This window comes from Homo sapiens, chromosome 13 (genome assembly GCF_000001405.40).
Source record: "Homo sapiens chromosome 13, GRCh38.p14 Primary Assembly".
Lineage (NCBI taxonomy): Eukaryota > Metazoa > Chordata > Mammalia > Primates > Hominidae > Homo > Homo sapiens.
The window spans coordinates 94,259,388-94,286,134 of record NC_000013.11 but is presented as its reverse complement, the minus strand read 5'-3'; the positions used below and the strand labels follow the sequence as shown (position 1 = coordinate 94,286,134).

At 39.0% G+C, this 26,747-nt stretch overlaps 1 protein-coding gene across 4 annotated transcripts in view; it reads right to left on the bottom strand.

Annotated features, from left to right (window-relative positions):
- The window catches only part of GPC6 (glypican 6), a 1,191,492-nt gene that overhangs the window by 121,886 nt on the left and 1,042,859 nt on the right, over nucleotides 1-26,747 (bottom strand). The gene's annotated exons all lie outside the window — the stretch shown is intronic.

Genomic DNA, 26,747 nt, shown 5'->3' with positions numbered 1-26,747 from the left:
GGGCTGAAAATAAGAAAATTAGTCCAAATGCAGAATGTTAAATATATCTAATGATTCCACATGAAGTAAAAACAGTATTAGGTCAGGGATCAGCTGCATTTAGAAAAGGAAGTCTCACCCATCTTCTTCTGGAGTCTGGGGAAAACTGAGAATATGAGGGAAGAAGTGCTGATTTGTGAATTTGGATGCACAAAAGTCAAGACCCAGTTGAAGCATATCTACCTGTGTGAAGCATTTCTGGATCTCTCAAGATGTACAGATCTGTCTGGATGTGATCACACTACTCAGCATTCCTTTCAGCATTTGCACTTTAACATCTTTTGGGGGACAGGGGAGCTTCTCTGATTTGGTTCTGTATATTCAAGGCCTATTATGGTACCCATCACATTATAAGCTCTCAAAAAAGTTGACGAAATTACACTGAACTGAAATGAACTCAGTATTGCTTGGAAAGATTTAGTTTTCTGTTGAAGACATCAGCTATATTCAAAGTCTGAAAGCTACTGTGGCCTGGGGGAAAAAGGACACGTTTTAAGGTTGGATCATAAGGACTTAACATAGAGTCACAGTTTAAAGTTATGGGGTTGAAATCATCTCTTAGCAGGTTCTCTTCTTGTTGAAATTAAAACACTCTCTCCTCTAGTAGAACTTATCTTCTATAGGTAAGGTGAGAAGCTGTTTGATTTGTACCATAAAGTGAGGAAGTTTCCCTTTGGTGATTTCAATGTTTCTGTTCCACGTTGAACTCTGACCATGGTACTAGGCTTGTAGGTTCTGAAGCCTTCAAACTCATCTCCCCCAACCACAATAAAATGCTCAAGTTAACCCTCTCCTAAGCAGGTGCCTTCTTGGCCTTGGGAAAAGGCAATCCTACTGATGACCCAGCACTATTAAACATAAAACTAAACGGCTCCATTTGCCCAAACTACCGGTTCCTGTATTTCTATTCGTTATCTCAATTCATTTGCCTTGTTATATAAACCAAGATAATACATTTTTGATATAAGTAGGCACCTATTTATTTTTCTTTTAATGTAGATCACCAGTCAGAATATGCTGCTTTATGTTGTTTCTTATCTGGTTTATGCCATTACTAATTTTTTAAAAACACAATATAAATAAAAATATGAAATAAAATTAGATTCTCCTTTGAGGACTCCAAAGCCAGTATACACTGGCTCAAAACTTCAGGATCATCCTTAGTGAGATCTTTTGCAAACTTAAAAATTTGCTGAGGGTAGATTTCATGTTATGTGTTTTTTTTTTTTTATTATCCACAATAAAAACACTAATGACTATTATACTGATTGATTTCAGTAGTTCTTATTAATCAAAATACCTGTTGATAAATCATTAAATAGTGTGAATGTATGCAAATACATTGAAACGCTGTATTCCTTTTACTAAAAAACACACAAATTATTCAAATTCTTAGAAAAGCTCAGATAAAATTGTGTGTGAAACATCTAGATAAAATAACATGGATGCACTGATTATAATGATACATAGGTTTTTGTGAAGAATAGGAAGAAGACTGACAAAGGACATAAATAGTGTGTTTTGGGGCTTATATTTTTCTGATGACAAAATTGTTTGAAAAAAAGCTACCTGATAGAAGGCCAGAGAAATCTACACAAATAACATGATGTCTAAAAGTAGAAAAAAATTAAAAAAAAAACATACATGTATTCATATGATATAATAACCCCCATCCCCAGTTCCCCATTTTGTTCTAAATATTCATGACATGAAAGGAAAAGCAGCTTTTCAGAAAACTCCTCCAATATTTTTTGAGGCCACTGTAAAAGGTCAGGTTCATAGCTACTGCCTGTAGAGGCCAAGTTCAAACATGATGAGGTGACAAAGCAGTGGAAGGTCAGAACTGTCGGCCCTGGGACTTGGAAAAGGCCTCATAGTGAATGGTGGCTCTTCTTTGACCCCAGGCCCCAGGCGGACAGAGGGTCTGCATGGCCCACTGAGCAGCCACGTGCATCTATTCTTGACTGGTTTTGTTCCCACCTGCCGGGCAAGCCTGTCATCAGTCAAGCTCCCTGGGTTTTAGGAGAACTTCCTTCCCACCTTGGGGCTAAGGAAAGCCATGCCTTAGGACATGACACCTCAGCCTCTCTCTCAGCTCAAAGTGAAGAAAACACAAAATAACTTTGCGACATCAAGGCAGTAGTTGGTAAGTTTCTCTGAAACCAGTGAAGTCACAACATAGCATAACTTACTCCAGAGGCTGCCATCCTGGGCTGTCTTAATTATCTCTCTGCCACTTATATTTTGAAATATTGGGAACATTATTTTTAACTCTGCTCTTGGAGCTGTTTTCTCTTGCCAATTAAACCAGGACAGTTACAGTATGTCAGCTAATGATCAGCAGATCCTTTCTGCTTACCTCTCCTGTGTTGCTCGTTTTGTTTCTCCTTAAAGAAGACTGTTGCCTCCCTAAAGCAGTATGTAATTTTTGTTTGGAAAATAAAATTTAGATATATTAGAAATAACTGATACCTCTGCATGAGGTGTGGAGGCACACAGAGAGACACTGACTCTGTGTTAGTACAGGGTTGGTGGGGGGCATGTAGCTGCTCCACCACAGGTGCCCAACCAAAGGCAAGGAGCCAGGATGCAGGTAAAGCCACGCCTCTGGGCCAAGGCCCTCTACTTGTGTAAGCATGGAGTTTCTGGTTAGGAATGAAGACTGTGGAGTCAGGTGCCCAGGTTTCAATCTAAACTCCTCCACTAAATGGCTGGGAGTTAATGTATAAGTCATGTAGTTCACAAAGTCCTATTTTCTTAATCTATGCAATGGAGATTATGACAGTATATACCTCAGTGGTGGTAGGCACAATGAAATGAAATCGTGCTTGTAAAGTTGTTTAGTACAATGTCTAGCACAAAATTAGCTCATAACAAAGCTTAGCTTTTATAAGTCACCACCTCCAGGTACTGTAAGGGGAAAGGAAAGGACCAATTTGTAAGATATTTTGGTGGAAGTATTGACAGCAATTGCTATGAGGAATAAGGGAGTAAAAGACACATGGATGACTTTAAGATGCAAAGCTGGTGATCTTTTTTATGTTAAATTAATCTTTTGATAATAGCTGCCTTTTGATGGATGAGTTCATTAGTGAGAGATACAAAGCTGCATTATTTTCTTATGATGTGCATCTTTGCCAATTAAAGATGACTGCAATATCTTCGACACTCTTTTCACGGAGAGGTGGGGTTTATGTCCTGTCCTCTGAATCTGGATTGGCTCAGTGACTCTTATGACTAACAGCATATGGTTGAAGTGACATTCTGCCAGTTTCCAGAGCTAGTATTTAAGAGACCACTTTCTGTCTCTTACAAGAATCTACTCTGAGATCACAGTGTTGGAGAGGGCATGTGTAGGGATTCCAGATGACAGTCCCAGTTGAGCCTAGATCTCCATCCACCCTTGCCAAGGTGCCAGACATATAAGCAAAGCCATCTTGAACCTTCCAGACCAGACCATCTGCCAGCTGATTACCACTTGGTGAACCCAGTCAGCACCACATGGAGCAGAAGAATCGACTAGTTGAGCCTTGCCTGAATTTCTGGTCCACAGTGATATGGTTTGGCTGTGTCCCCACCCAAATCTCATTTGAACTGTAGTTCCCATAAACTCCATGTGTTGTGGGAGAGACCTAGTGGGAGATAATTGAATCATGGGGGCAGTTATCCTGTTCTCATGCTGTTCTCATGACAGTGAGTGAGTTCTCATGAGATCTGATGGTTTTATAAGGGGCTTTTCCTCCCCTTTGCTCATACTTCTCCTTACGTTGCCATGTGAAGAAGGACATGTTTGCTTCCCCTTCTGCCATGATTGTAAGTTTCCTGGGGAAATGATTCTGCATTTCCCCAGCCATGCAGAACTGTGAGTCAATTAAACCTCTTTCCTTTATAAATTACCCAGTCTCAAGCAGTTCTTTACAGAAGCACAAGAATGGACTAATGCACACAGTACCATGATTTATAATAGTACGATTATTATTTTAACCTGCTAAATTTGAGGATAATTTATTTTGTGGTAAGAGCAAACTGGAACAGCCAAATGACAATATTTATAAACTACTCAGATAATTTCCCCTTTTTGTTTGACAGGACCTAAATGTTCAGAATTCTAGCCAATTAATATTTAACAGATTTAGCATTTATGATGTCCCCTCTGATTACAAACATTGGGATGGTCAAGAAAAAATAAAGTGTTGTCCAGAAGGGAACAGAGAATTTGCTTTAACTTCTACAAGGCATTATGGTACACCAAAGGCACACCAGCTAGCTTCAGGTGAGGAACCATTTCTCCCTTGGGATGTGAGAGAGATTCAGAGTAGGTTTGGAAGAAGGGAACAATTCTGATTTTTGTCTAAGTATTGACTTTATGAAGAGTGAAGTCTCTTGACACAGGGAGCTAGCCATTATCTGCTATGTCTGGATGGCATTGGATTAAAAATGATCTTACTGCTGTTTTCAGTAAGGAGAATCCTGAATGTTTACCTTCCCCTAGAATATAATTATTAAGTGTGACTCAATATGATTATACATACACTTGCAATTTGCTTCTTGAGAAAAAGAGACATAAAATCAGAAATGGCTTTGCTGAATGCCACTGACTTTAACCTAGAAGATAGTGATTTTCAAAGTGTTTTAGAGAAAGCAAGAAGAGAAACTCATTTTAAAAAAATGATATGATATTCAGGGAGAACACATGGACACAGGGAGGAGAACAACACACACCGGAGCCTGTTGGGGAGTGAGAGGGAAGGGGAGGGAGAGCATTAGGACAAATACGTAATGCATGTGGAGCTTAAAACCTAGATGACAGGTTGACAGGTGCAGCAAACCACCATGGCACATGTATACCTACATAACAAACCTGCACATTCTGCACATGTGTCTTGGAACTTAAAGTAAAATTTAAAAAATTTACAAAAAGATATGTTTTTAAGATTCTCCTAGGTAGAAAAATACCTTGAAAACTCAATTCAAATAAGCTCAACTTAATCTAATAACTATTTGTTATGTGCCAAAGAGGGTCACTATAAATTTGTAGGGGCACAGAAGCTGTCCATGGTGCTGCCTTCATGGAGTTTAGAATCTTTTTGAAGTGACATAGATGAAGCATATTAAAATTAAAAAAATAAAAAACAACTTTCCTTCTTTTGGGGGAAATTTGAATTAAGATGATAATGTGTCATTTCAATGTTCTCATTAAGTCATCTAAATTTGTCCTTAATGATCAACTCTTTGAAAAATGAAATCTGTAAGCACAATCTACCTTATTGTTGTATCAGAATTCCATGGCACCCAATTTTGCTCTTTTCTTTAGAAGCAATGCTCACCTACTCTTACCGATCTGCTGCATGTACATTTTAGCTTAACCAAGATATTTTCCCCACTGAGAAGCATACAAAAGAATTTAAAAAAATCAAGCAATTTAAAAAGCACTGTGATAAATGCACTCATTGGCCCCCAGTTATTCATTAAAAGAAAAAGAAAAAGAAAAACATGGCTGCAGTGTTTATGTATAGGCTGATTAATGCCCATGGCATGAATGTAACTAGGGGCACTGCTGTCTCCTGTGGAGTGCTGGAGACAGGCACGCTGAATATACATGTCCTTTGCTTTCACCCAAATCGATGAATTAAAATGCTTGTGAGATCTTGGGCTGGAATGTGTTTCAGGAGAGGCTGGAAAGAGAGCACAGCTAGAGGGGACTGAGGAGTACATAAGCCAGGATCTGAATGACCCGGAAAGAGGGCCAATTTAGGACTAGAAATTACCCAGGCAGAAGGTCCCAGCCCTTTTAGGAGCATTAAAACATTTTTATTTCTGATTTTAAAAATTATCTCTGGCCCAGTCTCTGAAAAAACAGGCTTTAAACCAACAAAGATCAAAAAAGGCAAAGAAGTGCATTACATAATGGTAAAGGGATCAATTCAAAAAGAAGAGCTATCTATCCTAAATATAAATGCACCTAATCAAAGAGCACCCAGATTTATAAAACAAGTTCTTAGAGACCTACAAAGAAACTTAGACTCTCACACAATAATAGTGGGAGACTTTAACACCCCAGTCAATATTAGACAGATCAATGAGATAGAAAATTAACAAGGATATTCAGGACTTGAACTCAGCTCTGGATCAAGTGGACCTAATAGACATCTACAGAACTCTTCACCCCAAATCAACAGAGTATACATTCTTCTCAGTGCCACATGACACTTGCTCTAAAATTGATCACATAATTGGAAGTAAAACACTCCTCAGCAAATGCAAAGGAACTGAAATCATTAACAAATAGTCTCTCAGACCACAGTGCCATCAAATTAGAACTCAGGATTAACTAACTCACTCAAAACCACACAATTACATGGAAATGGAACAACCTGCTCCTGAGTGACTCCTGGGTAAATAATGAAATTAAGGCAGAAATCAAGAAGTTCTTTGAAACCAATAGAATAAACAGACAGCATACGAGAATCTCTGGGACACACCTAAAGCAGTGTTAAGAGGGAAATTTATAGTACTAAATGCCCACATCAGAAAGCTAGAAAGATCTCAGATCGATACCCTAACATCACAATTAAAATAACTAGAGAAGCAAGAGCAAACTAATCCAAAAGCTAGGAGAAGGCAAGAAATAACTAAGATCGGGGCAGAATTGAAGGAGATAAAGACACAAAAATCCTTCCAACAAATCAACGAATCCAGGAGCTGTTTTTTTTTTTTTTGAAAAAGATCAACAAAATAGATAGACTGCTAGCTAGGCTAACTAAAAAGGAAAGAGAAGAATAAAATAGACACAATAAAAAATGATAAAGGGGATATCACCACTGACCCCACAGAAATACAAACTACCATCAGAGAATAATATAAACACCTCTATGCAAATAAATTAGAAAATATAAAAGAAATGGATAACTTCCTGGACACATACACCCTCCCAAGACTAAACCAGGAAGAAGTTGAATCCCTGAATAAACCAATAACAAGTTCTGAAATTGAGGCAGTAATTAATAGCCTACCAACCAAAAAAAGCCCAGGACCAGACAGATTCACAGCCGAATTCTACCAGAGGTACAAAGAGGATCTGGTACCATTCTTTCTGAAACTACCCCAAACAATTGAAAAGGAGGGACTCCTCCCTAACTCATTTTATGAAGCCAGCATCATACTGATACCAAAATCTGGCAGAAACATAACAAAAAAAGAAAACTTCAGGCCAATATCCCTGATGAACATCGATGTGAAAATCCTCAATAAAATACTGGCAAAGTGAATTCAGTAGCACATCAAAAACCACATCCACCACAATCAAGTCAGCTTCATCCCTGGGATGCAAGGCTGGCTCAACATATACAAATCAATATATGTAATCCATCACATAAATAGAACCAAAGGCAAAAACCACATGACTATCTCAATAAATGTAGAAAAAGCCTTTGATAAAATTCAACATCCCTTCATGTTAAAAACTCTCAATAAGCTAGGTATTGATGGAACATATCTCAAAATAACAAGAGCTATTTATGACAAACCCATAGCCAATATCATATTGAATGGGCAAACGTTGGAAGCATTCCCTTTGAAAACCGGTACAAGACAAGGATGCCCTCTCTCATCACTCATATTCAACATAGTATCAGAAGCTCTGGCCAGGGCAATTAGGCAGGAGAAAGAAATAAACATACTCAAATAGAAAGAGAGGAAGTCAAATTGTCTCTGTTTGCAGAAGACATGATTCTATACTTAGAAAAGCCCATCATCTCAGCCCAAAAACTCCTTAAGCTGATAAGCAACTTGAGCAAAGTCTCAGGACACAAAATCAATGTGAAAAGATCACAAACATTCCTTTATACCAACAATAGACAAGCAGAGTGCCAAATCATAAATGAACTCCCATTGACAATTGCTACAAAGAGAATAAAATACTTAGGAATACAACTAACAAGGGATGTGAAGGACCGCGTCAAGGAGAACTACAAACCACTGCTCAAGGAAATAAGATAGGACACAAACAAATGGAAAAACATTCCATCCTCATGGATAGGAAGAACCAATATCATGAAAATGGCCATACTGCCCACAGTAATTTATAGATTCACTGCTATTCCCATCAAACTGCCATTGACATTCTTCACAAAATTAGGAAAAACTACTTTAAATTACATATGGAATCAAAGAAGACCCATCCAAGACAAAGAACAAGAACAGCCAAGACAAAGAACAAAGCTGGAGGCATCATGCTACCTGAGTTCAAACTATACTACAAGGTGACAGTAATGAAAACAGCATGGTACTGGTACCAAAACAGACATATAGACCAATGGAACAGAACAGAGACCTCAGAAATAACACCACACATCTACAACCATCTGATCTTTGACAAACCTGACAAAAACAAGTGATGGGGAAAGGATTTCTTATTTAATAAATGGTGCTGGAAAAACTGGCTAGCCACATGCAGAAAACTGAAACTGGACCCCTTCCTTACACCTTATACAAAAATTAACTCAAGATGGATTAAAGACTTAAATGTAAGACTCAAAACTATAAAAACCCCCGAAGAAAATCTAGGCAATACCATTCAGGACATAGGGATGGGCAAAGACTTCAAGATGAAAATGCCAAAAGCAATTGCAACAAAAGCCAAAATTTACAAATGGGATCTAATTAAAGTAAAGAGCTTCTGCACAGCAAAAGAAACTATCATCAGAGTGAACAAGCAAACTACAGAATGGGAGAAAAATTTTGCAATCTACCCATCTGACAAAGGTCTAATATCTAAAACCTACAAGGAACTTAAAAAAATGTACAAGAAAAAAAAAAACCCATCAAAAAGTCGGCAAAGGATATGAACAGACACTTTTCAAAAGACATTTATGCGGACAACAAACATATGAAAAAAAGCTCAACAGCACTGATCATTATAGAAATGCAAATCAAAACCACAGTGAGATACCATCTGACGCCAGTCAGAATGACAATTGCTAAAAAGTCAAGAAACAACAGATGCTGGCGAGGCTGTGGGGACATAGGAAGGCTTTTACACTGTGGTGGGAAGGTAAATTAGTTCAACCGTTTTGGAAGACAGTATGGCAATTCCTCAAGGATCTAGAACCAGAAATACCAATTTACTTAGAAACGCAATTACTGGGTATATACACAAAGGAATATGTCATTCTATGATAAAGACACATGCAAATGTACATTTATTGCAGCACTATTTACAATAGCAAAGACATGGAACCAACCCAAATGCCCATCAGTGATAGACTGGATAAAGAAAATGTGGTACATATACACCATGGAATACTATGCAGTCATAAAAAGGAATGAGATCATGTCCTTTCCAGGGACATGGATAAAACTGGAAGCCGTCATCCTCAGCAAACTAACACAGGTGCAGAAAACCAAACTCTGCATGTCTTCACTCATAGGTGGGAGTTGAACAATGAGAATATATGGACACAGGAAGGGGAACAACAAACACCAGGGCCTGTTAGGGAGGCAAGGGGTGGGAACTTAGAGGATGGGTCAACAGGTGCAGGAAACCACCATGGCACATGTATACCTATGTAACACACCTGCACGTTCTGTACATGTATCCCGAAACTTAAAATAAAATAAAAATAAAAATGAGAAAGGCCCTTCATACGCTGGTCCCTACCTACCTCGCCAGCCTTGCCTAATGCCACCTCTGCCCCCTAAACAAGGATTCTCCCCTTTCAGCTCAAACAGAACTCTTTAAATGACATTGAACTTGGAGCTCTCCCCAACACACAATCCATCCTGAAACCAATGTCAGACACATTTTTCTAAACACAGCCTTGTTATCATTCTACCTGATCAAGAACTTCTAAGGATTCAAGTTTACAAAGAGATTCATAATCAGACTCCACTCTTGGCTTCTCATTCATTTCTCACTACTCAACATGTCCTAGGGTTTTCTGCTATTACAAATAATGCTGCAGTGAATACCCTTGTACATAATTCAACCCATGTACAAATAAATCTGTTGGATAAAGTCTTAGAAGTGAAACTGCTGGGTCAAAGATATGGGCTTATAAAATGTTGATAGTTTTGCAAAAATTCTCTTCATAAAGGCTGTACTTGTTTATATTCTCACCAGCAATACATGACAATATCTGATTCTTTAAGTCTCAAACGTTGATATGTTAAGATCAAACGTTTGGATCTTTGTCCATCTGATAGAGTAAGAAATTGGCATCTCAGTGTGGGTCTACCCTGAATTTCCCTTATTATAGGGAAGGTTGGACATCTTTTAATATGTTTAAAAGCTATTTGTTTCCAGTGCTTTGTCTCTTTCTCTTCTTTGTCTATTTATTTTACTGTTGGATTTTTTTTTCATTTTGATATAAATAAGTTTCTTTTTAAAAAAAATCAAGAAAACCAGCCCTTTTGTTTCATGAATTACCAATATTTTCCCTTAGTTATTGTTTATCTTTTCTCTTCATTCATGGTGGATTTTGCTATGCAGAAATTTTTGAATTTTTATAGTTAAATTTACCAATCATTTGTTTACATTCCCTCAGTCTTGTGCATACTTAACACAGGTCTTCTCCTTTCTAAGTTCACCTCCATGACCTAATCTATTACCATTTATATTTTCACTCACTGGCCTCATTAAATATAGTCCAGATACTCTACCGTCCCAGGGCCTTCTTCCTGGAATATTCTCCCTCTAGATGTAGACGTAACTCATTCTCTTATTTTCTTCAGGTCTCAACCTAAATGCCCTGTCTCAGAAAAGCTTTCTCTAACAACCCTACAACTCCTAGTCACTCTTCCCATTGCTTGATTCTTCATAGCAATGATCATCTGCTGACTTATTATATGTATATTTGTTATTGTTCCTCTTTTCCAAATATCATGGAATTTTCAAAAAGGCAAGGATTTTGCTTGTTTTGGTTACTGCTGTATTTCCAAACTCTAGAACAATACTTGGATCCTAAGAGGTGTTATTAAACATTCGTTAAAAGAATCATTGGAATAATTTTTAAAAATCTTTCTGTATTTTCTTCCAGAAAGTTTATAAAAACTAACTTGCTACCTTCTCCTCTGCACTAAAACTCCCTCTCCCTACTCTCCTGCCATGAACACCATCACAAATGCCCACAAAACTTTATTAGCACTGGTCTACAGGATAAATGGCCCCTTGGTGGCTTTTGATGTGTTATAATGTAGATGAAGAGTTTCTGTGGGAATTCAGAATCTTATTGTACTTTTTTATTAGGTAGAAATAACTTTTTAGTTCTTTTAGCTTGAAATTGAAAAGTGTGGCTGCTTTTGCTTCTGTCAGAGGTTATTTCTAGGTTAAGCTAAAAAAAAAAAAAGATGTTGATATTTTTGGCTTTACCAAACAAGGTAGTTCCTGCTGCTTTTCAAGACTCTAAGTTTGTCATTAACTTTCAAGACAATCTCTGTGATGAATGTCATTTTTGTTTCTTCCTTGTAATTTGTCCACATTCAGTAAACATCAAATTGTTGATTTTCTTTTTCTCATTCTGCCAACCCTGTATGGTGTTTAGGTTCATACAAAAAGATCACACCATGACAGGAATCAGATGTAGCTACAGAAATCATAGTACCCAGAATGAGGTAAACAATAGAAAATGGAAGCGAACCAATTTAATGCAATTTAAAACAGTGTACAGATATCAGATTCAAAAATAAAACAGGGACAGCCATCCAGAATAATGACAGTAACCAAAGAACTAAGGCCAAATAAAAGAGAATTTAATGAAAACAACTGTTTACTTTGAAACCAAATCCAGGAAGAGGAGGAGAGAACAAATATACAAACTAAATTAATTCTGAAACCAGTGCAAACAAAGAGGCTTATTTTGCTATAACACTGCAGAAGAAAATGCAAATTGTGGCGGAAAATAATTCACCAGTAGTCCTCACACAGTGCAGGAATTAGAATCTACAGGATTCATTTTCCGACATTGGCTTCTTTTTAGGAGAATGATGCCTTGTATTTCATAAAAACATAATATATTCATGTAAGCATCATCTCATTGCTATATTATATCTTTGAGATGTTTAGTTACATCATAAGCCAGGAAGAGTAGGCCTTGTAAATCATGAATGTGATGGACATCAAAGTATATACTACCAACCATAACTCTTTATTTAAATTTTTATTGTTGATTCTTCATAGGAATAAGTTTTTATGTCATTTGTAGCTTGGAATGTTCAAATAATTCACATCAACCTATCATTCCTTGCCTTAAAGATGAGTCATAGAATTTAAGGGGTAAAGAGTTCTTAAAGATCTTTCTGAGAGAAGAACTCTGTGTATGTTTCTAGTGCCTCCTACCGTGTTTTCGTAGCTAGTGGATTAATTTGGACCAACCCAAAGCAACTCATTAAATGTAAACAGCAGCTCCTGGAGCAGTAGCCCTCGTATCTGCTCTCACTCCATCTGGTACACCAAGTGCCTAAATTGCACAAATAGCATCAACATGCTTACCCTGTATCTTATTTACTTACTAAATTCCACGTGCTTCACCATTTTACAAGAGAATAATGAAGGAGAAAACATAGGTGATGGAGACAAAGCATTTTTTGTCCTATCTCAGAGTTTTTTCTTTCTTTCTTTGCTCCAATTAAGCTTCTCTTTAAGTCTCTCATAGTAACTCTGTTCTTACCACATGGGCACTGTGATCCTGAATTACCCTTCACAAAGCTATAAAAGCATTCACATTGCTCCTTCCTCTTTATTAACTTGCACATTTCACTTGAGTTACTTTGAATCCTTAACAGCTTAGATGGTCTTTCTGCTCCCCCAGAGAGACAGCATGGAGAGAGGCATGATCATAAGATGTGCGTCAGGCCTTGAGGCTTGGTGCCACCAGCCACAGGCTCTCTGACCTAGGGCAACTTACTTAACCTTTGTTAGTTCTGGGATTCATCTCTGCTATCAGGGAGACTGTTCCTACTTCACTGGGGGGTTAAATGCAACACCAGGCAGGCAGCACAATAAATGCTTATTGTATTAAGATTGTTATTTCTTTATGGATGGGAGAGTTCCTTTTATTTCCTCACAAAGTTTATGTGGAAGATATGACTTATCATCATCCCTGAAATGACAAAACCTTACTGAGAGGGGGCTGTGTCCAGTTCACCCTCTTCATGTGTGAAGAAGGTCACTGAGTTCCAGGGACACGAGGAGCCTGGTGATGTGGCTGGGCATGTGTGGCAGAGCTGTGACCGTGGCCTGAGTCTCTGTCTTTCGGCCAGGTATCTTTCTACTCCATCACGCTGCCTCCTTCTCTACAATCAGTCCATCTATCATCAAGAAACAGGACCAGGGCCAGGCGTGGTGTCTCATGCCTGTAATCCCAGCACTTTGGGAGGCCAAGGTGGGCGGATTATGAGGTCAGGAAATTGAGACCATCCTGGCTAACACGGTGAAACCCTGTCTCTACCAAAAATACAAAAAATTAGCCGGGCGTGGTGGCGGGCGCCTGTGGTCCCAGCTACTTGGGAGGCTGAGGCAAGAGAATGGCATGAACCTGGGAGGCGGAGCTTGCAGTGAGCTGAGATGGCACCACTGCACTCCAGCCTGGGCAACAGAGTGAGACTCTGTTTCAAAAAAAAAAAAAAAAAAAAAAAGAAAAGAAAAGAAAAGAAAAGAAAAAGAAGCAGGACCAGTCAAAATATCTCAAAGTGTCATTGAACTACAAAAGTCTAAACTTTTCACCAGCATATTGCAGTTAAGCAATTCTTCTATTTCTCCTCCTTTGCCCTAAAAGTTAATAAACCAAATCGCCCCAGAGACCATTTGTTCCTGTAGTACAAGGGCTTGCAACCTACATGGAATGAATCACAAACCTCTCCCAGAACCAATAAAAAATAAATAAATGAAAAGTCGGGTGTGTTGTGGAATTCCCCATTGAATTCAAACAGTGTGATTAGTGAGCAATTCAGTAAGCAATGGGAGCCCTTTTTTCCTACTTCTGTGCATACTGGTATTATTGAAAAGATATATATATTTTATTATTTTATTGCTCAGTGCCAGGTAAACCAAAATGAAAAACAAAACAAACAAAAATAAAAAAAACACAATATGACCCTGTAATCATGGGTCAGCAGACCCAAAGAAAAAGGTGGATTGTTTTAAAAAAATGAAAAAACTCATTTTAGGAAGTGAATGACTTCATCTCATCTCTGATTTACCCCATGAAATGGCAAGATGACTTTTGTTATTTCTTTTGCCTTTGCATCTTGTTTAAAGCTATCTTCAAAATGCCACATGGTGAAGATAAAGATCACTTTCCAGATGAGGAAGGAGGGAGAGAAAAAGGGAGGGGGAGACAGAGAAAGAGAGAAAGTGAGGGGGATGGAGAGAGAAGCAGAAGATGAGAGAGACACATCTTTTGTCATGTAGTATTTTCAATGGGCTTGGTACTGTTCTAATCACTTTAGGGCACTGAGATTAGTTTTATCTCCCCAACACTACAATGAAGTAGGAACTACTATTATCCTCTTTAATGGTTGGGGAAACTAAGACCCTAGAAGGGAAATAACTTGCCCAAGGCTCAAGGTTGTAAAGGGCTAGGGAAGGTCCTATTCAGGACAGGTGAAAAATAACATTAGTGAATTTGCCTGGACTTGTCATTCTAGCCAAGGAGACCTGCAGAAGTCTCAGAGAAGTGGGCATGATGGAGTGTGTGTGTGTGTGTGTGTGTGTGTGCGCGCGCGCGCGCGCGTGTGTGTGTGTATTTAACAAGTGTGAGGCAAGGGAATCACCGTCTGCTCCAGGGAATTAAAATTATACTTCTCTGTGGCCAGGTGCGGTGGCTCATGCCTGTAATCCCAGCATTTTGGGAGGTCGAGACGGGTGGATCACGAGGTCAGGAGATCGAGACCATCCTGGCTAACACGGTGAAACCCCGTCTCTACTAAAAAATACAAAAAATTAGCCGGGCATGGTGGCGGGAGCCTGTAGTCCCAGCTACTCGGGAGGCTGAGGCAGGAGAATGGCATGAACCTGGGAAGCTGGAGCTTGCAGTGAGCCGAGATTGCGCCACTGCACTCCAGCCTGGGCGACAGAGCGAGACTCCGTCTCAGAAAAAAAAAAAAAAAAAAAAAAAAAAAAAAAAAAAAAAAAATTATACTTCTCTGTCTCTGGTCCTTTATAAGGCTGCATTAAACAAACAAGTGCCCCTGGGAACTGCAGCCAGCAGCCCTCATCTTGAAAGCTGTGGGCCCATACTTTCTCTTTCTGCCACTTCTCTTAGTGTTCGGACTCTTTCAGAACTTCCCATGGAAAAGTAGCCTTGTTGATTTTGAGAATGCAGTGGTATATTCTGGTCTTAGAAGATGCATATGATTGGAGTAAGAACACTTCCCCCTAGCGACAAAGTGAAAAGTAACTTTGTTTTTCAGAAAGACATAACTACATTTTTATTAGATTTTTAAAACTTCAAATGTTTTCTTTGTATGTGTTTGTCACACACTATTTGGAAAAAGAAGACAAGGAGGAGAATAAAAATCATCTGTAACTAACCAAGACAGAGATACTTCGAATATTTTGTGATACTTCCTTTCAGATGTTAACTCTAATAGGCACAATATTAGGATCAGGCTATGTATGCAATGTTTACCCTTTGTTTTCAATTCAATAGCAATATAGTTAGATACTCCCCTCATTATTCTATGAAAGCATCCTTTTTACTGGCTGCATGATATTCCCTATCAGCAATGCACTATGACCTCTGTAGCAATTGTCTTATTGTTGGCTTTTTAGATTCTTACCTGATTTTGCACTATTATAAAATATACTCCTTATCTCAGATTTGTCCCTATTTCTGATTATCTACTTAAGATAGATTTCTTTAAATTGACAGTTATTTATTCATTGAAGAACAAAGTATAGTAAACACATTTTATTAATAAACATAAAAATTCAAACATACACTTAGGTATAGAATTCTCATAGAGAGATAAATGAAGGCAAAAAATATAGCTCTGATTCCACAATGTAATATATTTCCTACACTTGAAAAACAGACATTCAAGCAGACATTCTATGTGTAGATTTAAACTTTTAGGTTTTAAAACAGATCATTTGTTTCCCCCTTGCAATCATAAAGGGGTTTAATTACATAAGAAGGAGACAGAGGCTCTAGTCCTGCCTGCACCACAACATCAACATCTGACACTGAGCTCACGAATTCCCATCTGTAAAATTAAATGCTTAAATTTGTAGATATCTGATAGACTTTCTAGTTCCTAAATCATATGAATCTATGACTAGTTTGGTCAACTAGGAGGGAGCGCAGTAAAGCACCTGGGGTCAATCAGGTCAGGAGTATTGGGCAGGTGTCCAGATAGACCAAAGAGAAAGTGGGCAGAGGCAAACTGATCCCAGACTCAGGCTCAGGTTGGGGACAAAAGTGGACACAGGTGTTCAGTGTCAGAGTGAAAGACGCAGGTGGTCGAGACAAATGAAAGCTATAGGGATGCAGCCCACGGAAGCAAACACAAGCTGTGTGGGTTGGGACAATGTGCACCGGGGTAGCTGATTAAAAAGACAGAAGGACTGCAGAGATTTGTGCCCTGCCACAAAAATACTTGACCTTTACTTCTAGCTTCATTCTTAAGACCGTTTCCTCTCAAAATAATGTTAAAGCAAAGAAAAATTGGTATAAAAGGTAGGCTTTCAAGAACGAATAGGAAGACATCAATATCACAGGAAAACGGGTCACAGTCCCATGAATCCATCCTGAAACCACAATGCCAGTGAAGCAGGACTTTAACCATGGGGACAGCATTATCTAGCTGTGCGTGACATTGTGTTAATGATTACAGACATTTTGAGGAGACAATAATAAAAGATGAAGGTATAGATATATATAGGCTCATCACATAGTCATTATCCAGATTCAAAAGCGAACGTGTGGCTCAGTTGTTGAGGGGCCACCTGTTAACATCCACTTCCTATGTACCTGCAGGAAGTGGTACATGCAGTATTTCATTTAATCTTCTTGATTCTAAGAGGTCGATGTTATTCTTCGCCTCATTTTGAAAAAAATAAAAATAAAACAAGCTTAATGGAGTGAGAGGTTCTGTACTGAGAACAGAATTGGATGCCCTCCCAGCCCATGAGCCCCTGGCTTCCAAGGTTTCAACCATTAACATCTCTGCTTCTAAACACTAGTAAGTACGTTAAAATGTCCATACTCAAGAGGCAATGTGAAAGGCCAGGAAATGCTTCCAGAATTTGTCACAACGTTATAATAAGAGTCATGAAATATGAGAGATGTTCTTCAGTGAGGGAAATCTTTGTTGTCTTTGTCAAATAAAGCATCCCATGTCACAGGCCTTGATGTTCTTCTGAAAGATTTCCTCTTATTTTCTTTACGTACCTATGCCAGATTTTCAGACGAAAAGATGGAGAAAATGCCTCCTCACTTAGGAATGAAATAGAAAAAAAAATCAGAATATCTGCTATTTGATGATAGAGTCAACACTCCAACAATTGATTTACAGTGCCTTCCTATCTGTGTCCTCACCTGCTTTCAAGAGACTTAGGTAAGGTTATTTTTGCTAATACTCTTGAATTAACCTTAAGACACCTTTCAGTATTTAAAGATCAATAATACCACTTTTTCAAAGCAAACATGTACCTTAAAAACAGGCTAAAAGATTATTCTAAGAAAGGGAATAGATAATTTGGGGCTACTAAAAGACAATGAAAGGGATTAATTTTAAAGAAAAAGCATGCTGATGTGTTCTAGAAAGGAATTATATCTATGTATATTCAATGTGTTGGCTGCTACACTTTTCAAAAATGTGGCTGTCTTTTAAATGCTGCATGTAAATATTCAATAAATTTGCAAAAATTATTTATTCTAAAGTCTATGAAGCTCTGAATTCTGTAGTTAGTATGGACACATTTGCCTACCCTAAGTACCTCTTGGAACTACTAACATCATTTGCAATTTAGACCTTAGCAAGGTGGCAGATGTGCTGGAAGATCCTTGTGTAATTATTTTCCATTCTTCTTAATCATTCAGAATTTCAGATCTAGGTTTGAAGTTGCAGTTTAGCAACCCCACTAGCCTCTCCACTGTTAGCTGTTTAACTTCATCTGTGTTTAATTTTTGTTTCTTTCATATTTCTTCTACACATATTCCCAGATGCCTTTAGGAAATAGGTCCATTCTGAATATATCACATAAATAAACTGCAATGGGGGAAGGCCTCTTCATTTTGAAAATGCCACACTGCACAACAGCTGAAAGGAAGGCTCATTGAGTAATATTAGCTTGCGTTTCTACGGGAGCACTATAAGTGCTTTTTTCCCCAAAGCACTTAACATAACAAAATTGCCTCACTCATCACAGCAAAGCAGTCACCTTTAGAGTGGTGCATGAAGCTCTTTTTCAGGATGGAATCACACTTTAGATGGAGCAAGAAATGAAGAAGAATTCTGTGTCGAGTGGTAATGGTAGGGAAATTTAAGCAGGCAGAATAAAATTACTTAGCTGGAATTGGGTCAGAACCCCAAGACTAACAACTATACTGACACTAGACTATTCTGAGAAAGGCTAGTGGTTCTTTATTGAATAAACCCATTCTGACTCTTGGCAGAAAGATGTGTCTACTGCTTGCATATTATACATCCATCTATTTTCCTTCACATATATTTGTTATGTATAAGTCTTAAGAATATTTGAAACATTTTGACCCAGAAAAAATATATTTGTTCTTCTAAACTTGCATTAGACTGTACGTATTTACTAACACTATTCCACACATTTCCAAGCTAACCCTTATAGGTTACCATTTCCATATCAACAAACCAAACCCAGTGTCTCAGAAACCAGTGGTTTCCAAACGTTATTACAAAATTATATTGACTGGACAACCAGTCTCTTCCCCATTTCTCCTAAGTCATCTGCTGCACCCCTGGCCCATACACCTAGACCACAAGAAGACTGGATCTGGACTTCCATTTTTGTTGTTGGTGAGAAAACGGGGGCTTTAAAAGTCATTATTTTTAAAGGCTAACTAATAACATCATCATAGTGTAAAAAATTTAGAAGACTTAAAACTTTATAAAAAATATAATGCTCATAATAGCACCTTTGGGACTAAAAACGTATGGGTCAGACACTTAACCCTTCATGTTAGTATAACTTTTGAATGACTAAGCCGTTGAAGATCAATGCAAGACTCAGCAGAACTAAATATTCTCAACTCTTGACTTCACTGACAGTTAAAAGTGCATTATCATTTTCTGTACTCATTCATTTGATCAGCCAACATATGCTGAGTACCTGTGAGATATAGGACTCTGTACTTGATACCAGACTTCAGGAAAGACAGACAAGCAACACTTGCAATTATCATTCAGTGTGATGACGGCTAAATAGGAAACATGTACCAAGTGCAATGAAATCTTGAAGAAAGAGCATTTAAGTCAGTCCGGGCAGGGAAAGGGGAGCAGAGATAACTGGGGCTGCGTTTTTGAAGTTTGCTAGAATTGCTAGAAGTCAGTTAAGTAGAGAAGAAAGACTGAGGGAGGGTGGGGAAGGGTGGGGAAGAGTGTAAGTTGGACTATTAGACAAGGAGAACAGCAGTAAGAAAAAACAGGGAGATGGCTGGACGCGGTGGCTCACGCCTGTAATCCCAGCACTTTGGGAGGCCAAGGCGGGCGGATCACGAGGTCAGGAGATCGAGACCATCCTGGCTAACACAGTGAAACCCCGTCTCTACTAAAAATACAAAAAATTAGCCAGAAGTGGTGGCGGGCGCCTGTAGTCCCAGCTACTCGGGAGGCTGATGCAGGAGAATCGAGTGAACCCGGGAGGCGGAGCTTGCAGTGAGCCAAGATCGTGCCACTGCACTCCAGCCTGGGCAACAGAGCGAGACTCCTTCTCAAAAAACAAACAAACAAACAAACAAAAAAAAAAAAGAAAAGAAAAGTAAAGAAAAGAAAAACGAGAAAACAAGGAGACAGGGAAAAGTATAACAACTGCAGGTGATGAGAGGTCAAGTTCCAAGGGAAAAGAATAATAGGTTAGACACCTAGCGGAAACATCCAGTGAGCAGCTGAACATCCATGTCCTGGTTTAGAGAAGACAGTTGGGCTCTAGTGCAGATTTATGATGAAAAGGAGTGACTATTGCCTAGAAACTTTCTTTCCAATTCTGCTGATATGTTTTTCAGCATTCTTGGGAATAATGCCAATAAAACAAATTGATAATATAAATCATGTATGTGGATGGCATTTACTTATACAAATCTAATTTACAAAATCATATGTGGCACAAATTAAGCAACCAGTGATATGTTCTGACAGCCCTTTTCTTGTAATTTGGCCCCATACTATTTTGCTTAATCACTTCCTGCTCCTCAGTTTTCCTTCTCTGCAAGTTTTACCCACTTACCTTACCCTTTACACTTCTTGCTTTCTCTCCCTTCTCGCTTTCACCTTTCTCCCTGTGATGGTTAATACTGAGTGTCAATTTGATTGGGTTGAAGGATGCATAGTATTGATCCTGGGTGTGTCTGTGAGGGTGTTGCCAAAAGATATTAACATGTGAGTCAGTGGACTGGGAAAGGCCGATCCACCCTTAATCTGGGTGGGCACAATCTAATCAGCTGCCAGCATGGCTAGAATAAAAGCAGTCAGAAGAACGTGGAAAGACTAGACTGGCTTAGCCACCCAGTCTACATCTTTCTCCCATGCTGGATGCTTCCTGCCCTCAAACATCAGACTCCAAGTTCTTCAGCTTTGGGACTCGAACTGGCTTCTTTGCTCCTCAGCTTGCAGATGGCTTATTGTGGGAACTTGTAATCATGTGAGTTTAATACTTAATAAACTCCCCTTTATATATACATCTATCCTATTAGTTCTTTCCCTCTAGAGAACCCTAATACACTCCCTTTTCATATTACACGCCAGTTATCTAACCACCGGATTCTCCTGTTTTCATGTGCATCACATTAGGATCTTCCTAAAGTAACAAGTTGATATGGTCTGGCAGTGTCCCCTCCAAAATCTCATCTTGAGTTGTAGCTCCCATAATTCCCACGTGTTGTGGGTAGGACCCAGTGGGAGATAACTGAAACATGGGAGCAGTTTCCCCCATACCGTTCTTGTGATAGTGAATAAGTCTCACGAGATCTGATGGCTTTATATAGGATTTTCCTTTTCACTAGGTTCTCATTCTCTCTTGCCTGCTGCCATGTTAGATAGGCCTTTCACCTTCTGCCATGATTATGAGGTCTCTCCAGCCATGTGGAACTGTGAGTCTATTAAACCCCTTTGTCTTTATAAATTACCCGTCTTGGGTATGACTGTATCAGCAGCATGAAAATGAACTAATACACATGAGTTGTCATGTAATGGATTAATCTCAAATACCTCTTTTTAAATTTTACCATGGATTTGGAGAATTGCTAAGAGCTTCTTCCTCTCAGCTTCCACAATACTTGATTATCTCTATACTTGCCTTTTGTATATGGTGGCATTGAGCTCTTTGAAGCTAGGTACTAAAAATTATCTTTTACCGTCTAGTGACCAGAACAACATCTAATGCATAGCAAATACATATTTTCAACAACAAATATATGCTGAAAGAAAGGATGAGAGGACTTCAGATCCTTGTGTGCATAGCAAATGCATAGATGGAAGTTTCACAAGAAGGGTAACGACCTACTTCCAACTCCAGGATCTTGATTAGATATAAGGAACAAACTTCTGACCTTGTCACATCTTTATTTATTTATTCCTTAGCACAGGCTGCATGCAGACCAAAGAGATTCAATAAATGAATATCTAACTGCTTCTAATTATTTCACTCTTAACCCATTAAGAAATAAATTAGCCAAACATAGAATGCAATAGAAGCCTTGGTTTTGCCTAACATGTTAGATCCTTTGTCATATCAACAAGGGGGTAGAGAGGGAGGAATTGATGATATCTCTTCACTGCAGATGTTGGAACCAGGGTATGTGGGAGATCAATGACTAAACTTTAGGTCTCTACCCAGTCTTCTGCCCACCAGACCTCAATGCCTATTGATGGAGGTCCTAGGATGATGGTAGGTTGCCATGGGAGACAATAGTAGCAGCAGCCACAGACTCAATTTCAAAAGACAGTGACACATACACTCTACACGCAAGACACAGTTCTCTGGTGGTGTCAAAATCAATGGCGTTGACTATTCATCTTCCACCTGTGTCTTTTATTACAATAAAAGCTTACTCTAGATTGCCTGGTGCATTTTTTAAAAGCTTGCTGCCAGGCTGTAAATTTCAGAGCTGCCTTGCAGGGTTTCTTAGACAGGTTCAATACTTCCTAGAACACTGACTTCACACAAGTAAAGGAAAAAGGGAAAAGTAGATTTTCTTTTCTGGCTAAGAGCTGGAACTCTTCAATAGTAACCTGGGAATGTTTCTGCACTCCCAAAGGTGTGCCTAAGATGTCCTAAGTCAAAATGACTGCTATGATTAACCTATTTATTATTTTGACATGCTAGCAAAAATGAGAGGGAAGAGCCATTTTCTCTGCTTTTATCTGGCTTGGATAACCATGTTACTGGGATAGAAGAGAAAAATTGATCGAAAGCAGAGGCACAGGGGTATAAAAACCATCATGATCTTCACACAACCCTTTTGAGTTTCTGTCACCATTCCTTTTAATGGATTTGTGTTATGCTAAAGGGCAAAGGTCATTCTAAAATAATGAAATGTCAAAGTCAACAGAGGGTGAATTGCGTAGCAGGTGTTAAACAAATGTACAGTACTTTAAATATTTACATCTGCAAATGGAAGTCATATTTCTATCCTCTGATTACTTCCTAAGGCTTTTATCTACTGAGAGGGAGAAACTAGTGAATTCCCCTGATCCTGGGCTTCCCAACTCTTCTCCAAGTCTTCTGAAACTCCAGGACGCTGCCCTTCCTCTTGTTTACAAATGAGGCTACTTTCTGAGTCTTAGTTTAGAAATCGGTAAAATGGGTTGTTGAGAAGGTTAAATGAGACAACATATGAAGGAAGCAAATCCAATGCTTGACATGTGATTGGCACTAAGTGAAAGTTATTTTTATTTCCTTTTAATATGTTCTGTCAATGGCCATATAGTTAGGCAGAGAGATGGGCAATTTTCATTGTTAATGTCTGGTATATTACACAATGTTTTGTTATTACTCTCAATCTCTTTGTAATTATTTGTCTTTTGCTCTCTGTTTTACATAAACAGAATTTGATAATTCAAGGGAAATGAAAAAGAGATGTGATTAAATCCTATTTTACATTATTATAGGCAACAATTTCTTCCCTAGATCACATCTGTTAGCTCATTAAAAAGTAGCCTTTCCTTACTCTAAGCATGTTTCAAGTTTACCTTTAGACCAGTGATTCACTCCTTTTTTTTTTTTTTTTTCTGAGACGGAGTCTCACTCTGTCGCCCAGGCTGGAGTGCAGTGGCACGATCTCGTCTCACTGCAATCTTTGCTTCCCGGGTACAAGTGATTCTCCTGCCTCAGCCTCCCAAGCAGCTGGGACTATAGGTGTGCACCACCACGCCCAGTTAATTTTTGTATTTTTAGTAGAGACGGGGTTTCACCATGTTGGCCAGGCTGGTCTCGAACTCCTGGCCTCAGGTGATTCACTTACCTTGGCCTCCCAAAGTGCTGGGATTACAGGTGTGAGTCACTGCACCCGGCCCCTGGACCAGTGATTCACTCTTGACTACAATGAGAATCACTTAGAGACTTTAAAAATTCCCCTTGCTCTGACTGAACTAGGTAAGTCAGGATCTTGCCTGTGGACCCCTGGCATCAGTGTAGACCCGCTGCCCAACTCACTCTTGCCTCTGGACCTCTTATGCTCATTCCAAATCCAAATGTCATATACTTCCACCAATAATTAAATAAGCATCTGTTGAGCAAATACCATATGCCCAGCTCTGTGCTGAAACATTTCAGCTGATGAATTTGCTCTCTATTTCACAGAAAAAATAGGGGCCATTAAAATGCCTCCCAAGACTTCTTTGCCTCAGCTCCTTATAGATCCCACTTCCTCTCCTCCCTCTGCAGGGGACCTTGTTCCTTCAGTCACTCTGTTTACCTTAGGCATTTGAACATGTGCAAATATCTTCAATTTAAAAACAACTTGAAAATCTACCTCTTATGCCCTATTTACAGGCAAGCTTCTGAAAAAGAACAGCCTACATCCAGGTCTTGTTTGTCTCCCAATAATTTCTTAATTCATATTCATCTGGTTTTGGCCACAAACTGCTCTCACTAAAGTACCAACAACTGATTAACTGCCAGTGTCTGTCCTCTCTGTCACACTGGACGCTACTGACTTGTGCTTCACATTCTTCTGTGTGTCATGATGGGGCTCTATGTCTCTGTCTCCTCCTGCCCATCTCTGGTCACTTCTTGTTTATTTGTTCATTAGTTATTAACTATTAGTGTGCTCATTTCTTAAGCATTAGCTCCTCCAGGGTATAGGCCTGAGCCCTCTGTATATACCCTCTGGGTAGTTTCACCCATACCCATTAATCCATTTTTCATTGTGATTTTTAAAAATTTCTATTTCTACTGACCTCACACGTAAACACTAAATCCTTATTTATAGGTAACCAACTAGTAGACAGTCCCCCTCAAATGTCTTGTATTTGTCAATTATGACCTGTGCAAAAGAGAACATAGCACTTGCTCTTCCTGCTGAACCCATTCTTCAAATAGCTTCCTCTTTTTCAAGAACAGTGTCATACCCTGTTGCCCAAACCATTAACAAATGCTCTTTCCTTTTCCTTATTATTATTGCATTTTTGAGACAGAGTTTCACTCTTTTGCTGAGGCTGGAGTGAAGTGGCGTGGTCTTGGCTTACTGCAACCTCCGCCCCCTGGGTTCAAGTGATTCTTCTGCCTCAGCCTCCCAAGGCAGCTGGGATTATAGGCGCCCACCACCACGCCTGGCTAATTTTTGTATTTTTAGTAGACATGGGGTTTCACCATGTAGGCCAGGCTGGTTTCGAACTCCTGACCTCAAGTGATCCACCCACCTTGGCCTCCCAAAGTGCTAGGATTACAGACATGAGCCACTGTGCCCGGCGCCTTTTCCTTATTTTCATAATCAATCTAACACTAAGGTGTTGCTTTCCAAACTTTTTTCCCATACACCCACTATTTTAGTTCTAGCCTGAATCATATGATGATATCTGAACAATAATCATAACCCTCCAACTTGTTTCTAGTGTTCCGCCCTTCCTCCCTTCAACCCAGCCTCCACCATGCTCCCGACTGATAGGTAGAAAACTCAGATCTGATCTGACCCCTTCTCTTCAGTCAATCATTTAGATTGCTGGCAACTCCTTCAAAAGATCAGTAGTCACCAGGCCCTATGATGTGGCTGTGGGCTCTTTTCTCCCTGCAGATTCATATGCTGAAGTCCTAACTTCCAGCACCTCAGAATATGGTTATATTAGGAGATAGAGTCTTCAAAGGGCTGATTAAAGTAAAATGTGGTCATATGGATGGGCCCTAATCCATTATAACTGATGTCCTTATAAGAAGAAGAGATTAGGATGCAGACACACAGAGAAGGAAGACCACAGAAAGACACAGGGAGAAGATGGCCAAGTATAATCCAAGGTTGGTTTCAGAAGAAACTAACCCTACTGACACCTTGATCTTGGACTTGCAGACTCCAGAACTGTGAGAAAATAAATTTCTGTTGTTTAAGCCACTCCAGTCTGTGGTACTTTGATATGGCAGCCCTAGCAAACTGATATACATACTACTCTTAACTGATCTTCAAAGCACAGCTTGCATACTTCTGAATCCTCAGGCTGAGCTAGGAATCCCTTTTTTGAGCTCTGCCTCTGTGTTCTAACAATAACAAACAAAACAGCAATAAAGACCAGACCATGGCAGCAGGTGTCACTTCTGAAGCACCTGTGATGTGCTCTATATTCAGTACTTTACAGATGCTTTATCACTTATAAAACATCTGCAACAGGTTAAGAACATCCCGTTTGTCCCTAAGTTTCAGTGAGATTAAAGATAGTACTAAAAAAAGGGACTTAAGTAGATACTATATACCCATGTACACCATAACATCATTCACAATAGCCAAAAAGTAGAACACAAAGTCTATTGGTAGATTAATGATAAACAAAATATCGTGTGCGTGTGTGTGTGTATGTGTGTGTGTGCATGTGTGTATACACACAATAGAGTATTATTATTCAACCATAAAAATCATAAGATTATGACACATGCTAGAATATGAATGAACCTTGAGAACATTTTGCTAAGTGAAATAAGCAGGACACAAAAGGACAAATACTATGTGATTCCAGTTATGTGAGGTAATTAGAATAGGCAGATTCATAGAGATAGGAAATAGAGTGGCCATTGCCAGGTACCAAAAGGAAGGGGAACAGGGAAATGGGGAATTATTTTTAATGGGCACGGAGTTTCTGTTGGGACAATGAAAAATTCTGGAATTGGATAGGGGTGGTTTACACAACATAGTGAGTATTCTTAATGCCACTGAATCATACACCCAAAAAATCGTTAAAATATTTTTGAAAAGTACAATGAAAGCTAGCTTTTAAAAAAAGATAGTGCTAAACCAACCAATGCTAGCATGTAAGCAGCCCAGCCTAGAGTTGTCTAACTGGATCACCTTAGAGACTACCAGCCCACTCAATAA